At 42.9% G+C, this 10,509-nt stretch overlaps 1 protein-coding gene across 12 annotated transcripts in view, besides 2 other annotated features; it reads left to right on the forward strand.

The window, feature by feature from the left end:
* SASH1 (SAM and SH3 domain containing 1) overlaps nucleotides 1-10,509 on the forward strand; it is a 358,577-nt gene that overhangs the window by 245,343 nt on the left and 102,725 nt on the right. For 7 of the 12 annotated variants that reach the window (XM_017010599.2, XM_024446384.2, XM_017010600.2 and 4 more), the window contains exons 3-4: nucleotides 1,374-1,424; nucleotides 1,548-1,597. The exons of 2 other annotated variants lie outside the window; for them this stretch is intronic. In XM_017010599.2, coding sequence (XP_016866088.1) covers nucleotides 1,374-1,424; nucleotides 1,548-1,597 — 101 coding nt within the window. Of the gene's footprint in view, nucleotides 1-1,373; nucleotides 1,425-1,495; nucleotides 1,598-9,549; nucleotides 9,615-9,637; nucleotides 9,657-10,509 lie in introns of those variants that run through there. 3 more of the 12 variants (NM_001346506.2, XM_017010605.2, XM_047418499.1) reach the window with 3 other exon arrangements.
* Nucleotides 2,783-3,077: an enhancer, noted in NCBI's record as "tiled region #6687; HepG2 Activating non-DNase unmatched - State 16:ElonW, and K562 Activating DNase unmatched - State 10:DNaseD". NCBI's record gives its function as "activates a minimal TATA promoter and a strong SV40 promoter by Sharpr-MPRA in HepG2 and K562 cells {active_cell/tissue: HepG2 | K562}" and the evidence as "EXISTENCE:reporter gene assay evidence [ECO:0000049][PMID:27701403]".
* Nucleotides 6,888-7,388: an enhancer, noted in NCBI's record as "H3K4me1 hESC enhancer chr6:148766834-148767334 (GRCh37/hg19 assembly coordinates)". NCBI's record gives its function as "activates a minimal SCP1, AML or CMV promoter by ChIP-STARR-seq in primed H9 embryonic stem cells {active_cell/tissue: H9 hESC(primed)}" and the evidence as "EXISTENCE:reporter gene assay evidence [ECO:0000049][PMID:30033119]".

A 10,509-nucleotide genomic window follows, 5' to 3' on the forward strand; every position in this document is an offset into this window, starting at 1 on the left:
GTGCGGTGCAGCGTTGTCAGCCACATGCACATTGTTGAGCAACAGATTCCCAGAACACTCCCCCACAATCCTGCATGAAAGTGCATTCATTCCGATACTCTATATTCGTGCTGGATTCCTGTTCCTTATTTAAAAGTATAACTTTGCTCTGAGTTATACTTATTTTAATACTTTATTGCTACTTTTATACATCAACAAAAGGTTTTCGGTATTGGTGTAGTTTTATAATTGTGTTAATGATGAAAAGGGCAATTGAACAATTAGATGCATGTGAAAATGCATAATTTACATAATTTATTTTTATCACAGGTAATTTGTTTATCTAAATACTCTTCGTTTTCTTTTACTTTCAAAGGAGATACAGCCTCCTTGAACTATGAAATGAGGGTGTTACACCATATGGTTTTATCTGTAATATTCTTTGATTCTTCTGCCTCTCACAATTTAATGATATTTCAGTGCATTCTTAATATCAAGTATTTATATTTCATTTATCAACTCGATACCGCGCGAGTGTTTGTTTTTAAATTTCCAGATAGGTCAGTTCATTTGTGTTAGGGAAGTATAGTGATTTTTAAGGCTGCAAGATAACATTCAGTTAGCTTCCCAACTTCCTAAAGACATTAACAACTTCTCCTAAGCTATTAAGTGCTCTGAATACATTTAGAACTTTAAAATTGGATTGGGGCTGGGCGCGGTGGCTCATGCCTGTAATCCCAGCACTTTGGGAAGCTGAGGGGGGCGGATCATGAGGTCAAGAGATCGAGACCACCCTGGCCAACATAGTGAAATCCCATCTCTACTAAAAATGCAAAAATCAGCTGGGCGTGGTGGCGCATGCCTGTAATCCCAGCTACTTGGGAGGCTGAGGCAGGAGAATCACTTGAACCTGGAAGGCGGAGGTTGCAGTGAGCCGAGGTCATGCCACTGCACTCCAGCCTGGTGACAGAGCTAGACTCTGTCTCAAAAAAAAAAAAAATTGGATTGGAAGTCTAGTGTCGTTGGAAAACAGCTAAACTCAAATGGGTTGCAGTAAATTCAGTGTCTTAGTGACCAACTAAGTATATCCACAGAATTATTTCACCATGAACTGTCAGTCCCCTTGACTGAAATTGTGCTTTTTTTCTTCTGAAATAAAATTGTCAGCAGAGTCTGGCAACAAAGTTTGGAAAATATTTCAATCTTAGGGGGCTAGAGCTCTCATTTTAAAAGTATTTTAGTTTTCCCAGAAAATCTGTTTATCTCTGCCATCTCCTCCCACTCTATACCCCAACCTTTCCCGAATCCTCCCCTCTCTTCTTACATGTCTATTTGTCTTTCTCGCGTGTGACATGTTTGGAAGTCCCGTTAAACTGGCATCTGTTCTGTTTTAGGAGAAACCCGATGCTAGCCCCACGTCACTTCAGCTGCGGTCCCAGATCGAAGTAAGCACAATGACTTTAATCATCTAGTTTTGCTTCTGCCTTTTTTTTTTAAGTGACACTCTGTACAAATCAGATGAAGCCTGCTGCTCTGACCACACTGACTATACGAATCTTCTCTCGTAGGAGTCGCTTGGCTTCTGTAGCGCCGTGTCAACCCCAGAAGTGGAAAGAAAGTAAGTCTTTCTCCCTCTGCCCAGGACCACCTTCCAAGAAGGTGTCTTTTAGGTCCATGCTGACGGAAATCAAACAGGCGATCATGTGCGTATGTACTATGGAGTTATGCGATGTCATTTTCCTTAACATGTTGCATGCATGTGTGTGTATCTAGGTGGCTAAGAGTGTGTTTTGTAATGCAGTTGGTGATGTCTGAGGATTTTGTGAAGAGTTACTGATTTTACACTTATTGTGAATAAACCCTAAATAAATCTCCGGAAATAGAAAGGGAAAGGATAGGTGCATTAACCAAGATGGATTTTCATCTTTTACATTAATTTTTAATGTAGGATAAAAGTTATCAAGAAGCAAGATACAAATATAAAATATACTATATTCCAGAATAAACCAATGATTAAAAACCCGTCTTCTGCACCTCATTTTGGTAGGTGACCTTAAAACAACAGTGAATGTGTGTGTTAAAAAATGGCAAATGATCCCTAGCGTTTCCTGTTAAAGGTAATATTTTTGCTTCCTTGACCCAACTTGGACCCTGTAATTTCTGCTCTCATGGAAGCTAATTTTATGTTTCTTGTTATATTTTCAGTATTTCTTTTAGGCAACATAAATAAGACAAAAACAAGAGAATCTTTTTTCTAAAACCTTTTCTTTTTCTGCTTTATTGCATCATCATTGTACTAGAATGTTCTATTTGTGATCTTCCATGGTAAAAAATTTTAAAGAAAGTCCACATCTCTAAACAGACGCTTCCTTTGGCACGGAGCCACTTGTACGTTCATGCCAAGGGAGGCACAGAAGTGGTTTAGGCATCAAGTATTTCTGGAATGCAAAGCACACGTTGGGGAGAGCGTGTGTGTGCTTTAGAGCACAGCTTTGCCTAATCCATCCACGTGTGTGTGCTGCTGGCACAGGCGGTTCTGGGAGGAGGGCTGCTTTGCCAGAAAGCTATAATTCTAAACTTAAGAGGCTTTGTGGGTTTTGTTCTGGTCTGAGGAACGTTGTGGGTGATGTACCATAGCAAACCAAGGCCACTGCCCACTCAGGTTGAGAAGATAACTGTGCACACCCCATCAGCTTTTTTTGTTTTGCTTGCCTTGCCTCCTCCCAGGAACCTAGTAATATGGAGGCTGAAATAGACAAAAAAGGCTCAAGTTGACATTGACTTTGAACTTGGAGGTATTGTGGTGGGGTAGAAGCATCGAGTGAACGGGCTGTAGCTTTTCCTGCCCTAGTTTATTATGTGCCATGATTCAGGCTGAGAGCTCAGGTGTTCCCTCAGAATCTCTGAATCCTTCAGGAAACGAGAAATGTTTGCTCTTCCTCCTAAGAGGAAGTGACTCACCAAATTTGTACTAACCTTAGTTAGGCTGGGTAGTACTTCTTCCCCTCAATTGTGGAGAGTCATTCTTTCCGTGTTTATATCCTTTACTTAGTAAAATGTGGCATGGCTCTTGTGGCTGAGAGAGACTGATGGCCTCCTCTGAGGTTAACAAAAAATTTTAAACACACGCCCACTGTCTCCATTTGTAATATTGTCATTTTGCCTCTGTAATTTTAAGTGGTTCAAACTTAATGTGTTTCTAAACAATTTGAAAGTTTAAAAACATTTTGTCCTTTATTTCTCTGTTAATGGCTTTTGAAAACTATGCTATCCTTTGCTTTTAACTTAAAAACACTTTCTTTTGAAAACTTTTATGGCTGGGTGCAGTGGCTCAGGCCTGTAATTCCAGCACTTTGGGAGGCTGAGGTGGGAGGATCACTTGAGGCAAGGAGTTTGAGATCAGCCTGGGCAACATAGTAAGACCCTGTCTGATCCAGCACCAGCCCCCCGCCCCCAGCCCCCCCAAAATTAGCCAGGTGTGGTGGTGCCCACCTGTAGTCCCAGCTACTCGTGAGGCTGAGGCAGGTGGGTCCCCTGAGCCCAGGAAGTTAAGGCTGCAGTGAGTTGTGATCATGCTTGGGTGAAAGAACAAGACCCCATCTCAAAAGAAAAAAATATTAAAATAAATTTAAAGTTACAGTAAAGTTTCAAGGATTGAGAATTGTGCAGTGAATGTTCATGTAATCTTCACGTGGGCCACCAGTTGTTGACATTTGCACACTCCTGAGCTTTCTCTCTCTCTCTCTCACACACCCCCTGCCCCCCACATACACCACCATTAATTATTATTACTGCTGGCCTGTTTGAGAATAAATGGTAGACATCATGATTGTCACCCCTAAATGCTTAAGCAAATATTTCCTAAGGACAATGACATTCTGTTACAGAATAATATAGTATAATGACCAAATACAGGAAACTTAATAACTTTTTCTAATACATAGTTTCTATTCAAGTTTTTCTTTTTCTTTTCTTTTCTTTTTTATTTATTTATTTATTTTTGAGAGGGAGTATCGCTCTGTCGCCCAGGCTGGAGTGCAGTGGCGTCATCTCGGCTCACTGCAACCTCCACCTCTTGGGTTCAAGCTATTCTCCTGCCTTAGCCTCTTGAGTAGCTGAGATTACAGGCACCCGCCACCATACCCGGCTACTATTTTTTGTATTTTAGTAGGGACAGGGTTTCACCATGTTGGGCAGACTGTTCTCGAACTCCTGACCTCAAATGATCTGCCCGCCTCAGCCTCCCAAAGTGCTGGGATTACAGGGATGAGCCACCGTGCCAGCTGTATTTGTTTTACTAATTGTCCCAATAATGTCTCTTTTAGCAGTGTTTTTCCAATCCAGCACTTTTTAGAAAAAAAAAAAAAAAAAAAAAAATGGCTCACGGCATGTTGGTGTCACGTCTTTTGTCACATTTAATCTGAAAGGGTTTCTTAGCCTTTTTCAGAGTGTAAGCTAGTTGTTTGATGAAGTATTTGTTGTTTAGGGTTTATTTGTTTTTGTGTTTTTTTGCGCCACAGTGCATTATATCGGGGGCCCGTGATGTCCGTTTATTTCATTATTAGTGATATTAATTTTGGTCATTCACTTAAGGTGGTATCTGCCAGGTTTTCTCTGAGAAGTTACAATTTCTTCTTTGTAGTGAATATATATATAATATATATATTATATATAATACATATTATATATTTTTATATATATTTTATATATATGTATGTATGTATATACATATATTGTGAGGTGATCCTCTGAGACCGTGAAACTATTATGTTTCTCATCAAACTTTTACCTGTTGGTTTTAGATTCTTTCCATGATTCTTGCCTGAATCAGTGTTACTGTGATGGTTGCAGAAGGGTGATACTTATTCTTGCATTGATGATTATTTTGTATAAAATCTCCCAAGAGGTTTTGTGTTTAAATTTCATTTGCTTTTAAAGATGTATCACCCTGAAAATCCTAAGTCAGATTATAATTTGAATAGGTTTGATGCATTGTCGCTATAGAATAATTTATACATTGTATTTGAAGATGCAAATAGACAATCTCACTATTCCCTTACATCAAAATGCTTGCTGGGAGCCTTGCTGTTGAGTACAGGACCCTCAAAGGGTGACCTGGCGAACCAGTTGGCTGTGTCTGGTTGGTGTCTGCAAAAGTCTCTGCCAACCAAAATATCATTCTGCGTCAGAGTGGTGTTCTGTGGGCAGAAGTTTTCTCTGCTTTTTATTCCAAAAACAAGAGAACTTAGAAAACACATGTGGGCAAGACCTGCAGGGGCCCACCCTTAGAAGCAGAAATGCAAAGAAGGAGGCAGCGTGGAAGCTGAGCACTGCTCCTGCGACTCCTGCCTCGCAGATCCAGTCTCCCAGCTTGTCTCAGGGACCCCCTGTGTGCACGCCTCTGTCCTCCTTGCCCAGCTGAAACCTATTCTAAGGGAGGTATCTGGCCTTAATTATGTTTCAAATGTCTGTTTCTAAAAAATAACATCACTTCTGTCAGTAGTATTTAGCATTTAACAGGGTTTAAAGTCTCAAGTCACAGGAAGTTAGCTCTGACCAGAAGAGGGGGAGGGAGAGAGACAAGCAGTGAGATTTCCGACATACCTGGCATCTCAGCATCTATTGTGGATGCCCCTGCCAAGTGGGGCTGCTGACCTCTAGATGTGCTTGACCTGCATATACAAGAGGTGGGTTGATAGGTAGGTGATAGGTAAGTAGGTGTGTGGAAAGAAAGAACAGACCCTCCCTACCCCATTATGAGTTTGGTGGGGTCCCCATTCATCCTTATTTTCTTACACTATCTGGTCTCTCCATATGCTTTCACTGGAAGTTTAATAAAGAAGGCCAAGGGAGATTTCATTTGAGCCTCTTCTCTTTATATCTATCTACATCGCTTATTGATGAGACTATCTGTTACTGGAAGGGGGTCCTGATCTAGACCCCAAGAGAGGGTTCTTGGACCTCATGCAAGAAAGAATTCAGGGCAAGTCCATAGAGTAAACTGAAAGCAAGTTTATCAGAGAAGTAAAGAAACCAAAGAATAGCTACTCCATAGGCAGAGCAGTGGCATGGGCTGCTCGACTGAATAGACTTACAGTTGATTTTTGATTATATGCTAAACAAGGGGTGAATTATTTATGAGTTTTCTGGGGAAAGGGCAGGCAGTTCCCAGAACTGAGCATCCCTCCCTTTTTAGACCACATAGGGTAACTTCCAGATGTTGCCACGGCACCTGTAAACTGTCATGGTGCTGCTAGGAGTGTCTTTTGGTGTGCTATTGCATTATAATTCACATATAATGAGCAGTGAGGATGACCAGAGGTCACTTTCATCGCCATCTTGGATTTGGTGGGTTTTGGCAATCTTCTTTACTGCATCCTGTTTTATCGGCAGGATCTTTGACCTGTATCTTGTGACACCAGTCCTGCCAACCTCCTGTCTCATCCTGTCACTAAGAATGCCTAGCCTTCTGGGAATGCAGCCCAGCAGGTCTCAGCCTTATTTTACCCAGCCCCAGTTCAAGGTGGAGACGCTCTGGTTCAAATGCCTCTGACATACCTGCTTTATTGCTCAATCTCGGATTTGTGTCAACTGGCTGAACAGGTGAAATTAACTAATTTTCTATTACCAGACACTTTTAAGAATATTTAGAGGGTAAGGCTTTTCTTGAGAGGGCTGGGAAATAGCTTTATAACTACAACAAATGAGTTTAGCTACGAGTCGCAGAAAACCTGACAAATAGTGATTCCTTAGACACATCTGAGTTCCATGAATGGGTCCAGGGCTGGCTCCATGACTCAAGTCGGCCTTCAGAAACCCAGATGGCTGGACTGCTTTCTTTTTTCTTCTTTCTTTTTCTTTCCCGTCATAGCCTCAAAGTGGCTGCTGCATCTTCTAGGTGGGAAGAAAAAGCAGGGCGAAGAGAGGGAAGAAGGCAGTAGGTCCCAAGGCTAAACCTTGTGCTTTGCAGAGCTTTCCTAGAAACCCTGTCCACCACATTCCAGTGTGTGCCACTCATTTCCTCGTGCAGCAGCTGTTTGCTGACCAACTACCGGTTGTAGAAGGCTCCCTTCAGGGGGCCCAGGATATAGTGATGGACAGAACTGTCACGAGCTTACGTTTGAAGGCAGGGGCATATACTAGAACAAAAATTACATATTTAAAGTCATGGTATGGAGAAAAATAAAGCAAAGAAAGGGGACCCAGAATTGGGTCACTTGACCACCATAGCTATAAGGGAGTTTAGAGAAGTGAGCATTTTTAACGGAGCACATTGCTATCCTGAACAACATAGGGTTCTTTTTTTTTTTTTTTTTTTTTTTTTTTTTTTTTTTTTTGAGACGGAGCCTCACTCTGTCGCCCAGGCTGGAGTGCAGTGGCGCGATCTTGGCTCACTGCAAGCTCCGCCTCCCAGGTCCACGCCATTCTCCTGCCTCAGCCTCCCCAGTAGCTGGGACTACAGGTGCCCGCCATCATGCCCAGCTAATTTTTTGTATTTTTAGTAGAGACGGGGTTTCACCGTGTTAGCCAGGATGGTCTTGATCTCCTGACCTCATGATCCGCCCGCCTTGGCCTCCTAAAGTGCTGGGATGACAGGCGTGAGCCACCGTGCCTGGCCAGGGTTCTTTTCTTAAGGAAAGAGGGTGAATAGACATTGCGTAGGAGACTAGCAGTATTTTCTATGAAAAGTTTAACTTTTATTTGTATGCATGTAAACAAAGGAATCTGAAAATTACCTAGATGTCTGACAAGCTGTGTGTCAAGATTCTTTAGTGTCATTACATTCAAGGAAGCCAACTGTAGGGAGGGCCACCTGGCTATTTTGTAATATGTTTATGGAGGAAATCTTCATGGGGTGGTTTATATAGACTAAAAATTGAAAAGGCATAGACAGGTAATAATAGGTGATGCTTATTGAGTTCTTATTATGTGCCAGGAACTGAGCTAAGCACTTAACATTGACTCACTTAATACAAAAATCCTACGAGATGACAAATGGTATGATTCCCATCTACAAATGCAAAACTAAAGGACAGAGGTAAGTTGCCCAGGGCCACACACTTACTAAGAAGCAGTACACAGATTTGATCCCAGTTAAGAACCCATAACCCTAACCACAGAGCTGTAATTCCAAAGTCCTTAGAATGCATTGCTTATGCAAATACAGAGGCTAGTGGCAAATCGTGTTCGTTAGCATCAAATAAACAGCAGCAGGTAAAACCTACACTTCAGGGCTCCCTTGAAAATAGGAGCAAATTCTACCCTCATCCAGATATAAGCTAGGTCCCAGTTATTTATCTGTAGAGGCAGGAAGGTCCAAAATAAATCTCAAAACTTCACCTAAGCCAATATTTATAACTTCTTTTCTACTAAGTCTTTCACTGGAGTTGAACATTCACTGATTTAGTTTCACTTTTTTTCATTATCTGTGGCTACACTTGAACTATTTTATGGTGAAAAAGTCCAAAAATATATAGCACGATGGAAAAGGAAGGTAAATAAAAGTAGAGAAGGCCAATAGAGCAGTGTTCTGTGGTGAAATAAAGAGGATCGAATATAGTTTATAAATGTTCTCTGCGGACACTTACTCTCCTTGGACAATGCTTCGCTCTCAGGTATGTTTTATCTGGCAAGCTGATTACTCTTTTGATAATGTCAGCTTTCCTTTTCTCCCTCTCAAAGATCTTTGTCTTCACCCTCTTTCCTCTGACTGCAGGGAAGAAGTCCCAGCACACACATGCCTGTTGCAGTCCCTCCAACTCCCTGCTTTGGATCATCTGCTGCTCTCTTGATTGCTTGCACCACTGATCTGATCTTGTCGTCATCCTCCTCCCCTTCCTTCTCCTCCTCCTCCTCCTTTTCCTCCTCTTCTTCCTCTTGTTCTTCCTCCTCTTCTTCTTCCTCTTCTCCTCTTCCTCCTTCTCCTCCTCCTCATCCTCCTCCTCCTCTTCCTCCTCCTCCTCCTCGTCCTCCTCTTCCTCTGTGGTCTGCCATCCACCTACCTGGCCACCTTAGCCCTTGCTATGTGCTCCCTAGGCAGAGCAAAAGCCGCTGCAGTTTCTCAGACAGGCCCTATTCTCCCAGGGCGTGCTGAGCCTTGGAAATGCTGCTCCTTCAGCGGGATACTCTGTCTCCCACTCTCACCATTACCCCCCGCTGCCCACTCCCCGACCTTTCCCTGGGCAAGCTCCATTCAATCTTAAAACCTCAGCTCTGGGGTTGGCCCCTCCCAGAATTCTCCCGTAATCCACAGACTTGAGGTGAAGTGGCCTGGTACTTGGCCTCTACACCCCCTGGACTCTCCTGCTTCTATTGCAGTGGAGAGAGTGTGTGTGTGTGTGTGTGTGTGTATGTGTGTGTGTGCGTGCGTGCGTGCGTTGTCACCTTCCACCCTGAACTCCTTGAGCCCTAGATCTTTTGCTTCTCTCCTGGCACACAGAAGATATTCCATAATGTTGAATAAATCGATTGAGTGAGTGAGCATGCACAAACATGCTTAGGTCTTCTTTACTCTAGAAAAATCTTCTTGCCGTTCTTCCAGACTATGTTTCTTTTTCTCTCTTTCCCTAGTTGCTAAACTTTTGCCATGAAGCCTGGCTCCTGTCTTCATTCCCTGATGAAATGTTATTTCAGAGGTCAGTGGCTTCATAGGAACCTAACCAGAGGCCTCTCCCCACGTGAGTCCCTGTTGCATTGGGTCCTGCTGACTTTTCCCCGGGTCACACTTCTCTCATCTCCCTTGGTGGCTGCGACTTTGCCACCAAGTTTCGAGTTTCTTCTCCTTTATGTGCACTCTGTGCAGCTCTGCCCACCCCTTCCTGTGAGTGCACCCCAGGCTTTTTACCCAGCCTGTGAGCTCTCCCAAGGCTCTTACCTGCGCCCATGGCTTTGAGCTCTTTAGGTACTCATTGTAGATTTAACTCTCTCGCTCTGACCTTTGCAATCTGGTGGCCTGCCTATTACAGCCTCTTGCTGAAAAATGCCTGCTCACTAATATCTCAGCCACCCAAACTGCCCATTCATATAACATAATTCACCACTTCCTCTTGACCCTTCTCTAACTACCTGCTCTTTGTCCACACTTCCCTCTCTCTATCCTTGAGAAACTTTTCTGCCCTTCACCCAGACTTTTTCATCATGCTGTCCTGCTTTTTTTCCTTGACCCTTGATTGTCAGTTGCCAAATCCTGTTTTTCAACTTCTATAGTCTTTCCTTTGTTTCCCTCTGTTTTAGTCCATTTTGTGTTGCTGTGATAGAATACCCGAGACTGGCTAATTTCATTTCATTTCTTTTTTTTTTTTTTTGGAGACAGAGTCTCACCCAGGCTGGAGTGCAGTGGTGCAAATCTCGGCTCACTGCAACCTCTGCCTTCTGGGTTCAAGTGATTCTCCTGCCTCAGCCTCTCGAGTAGCTGGGACTACAGGCATGTGCCACCACGCCCAACTAATTTTTGTATTTTTAGTAGAGACAGGGTTTCACCATATTGGCCAGGCTTGTTATGAACTCCTGATCTCAAGTGATCCACCTGCC

Source organism: Homo sapiens, chromosome 6 (genome assembly GCF_000001405.40).
Source record: "Homo sapiens chromosome 6, GRCh38.p14 Primary Assembly".
Lineage (NCBI taxonomy): Eukaryota > Metazoa > Chordata > Mammalia > Primates > Hominidae > Homo > Homo sapiens.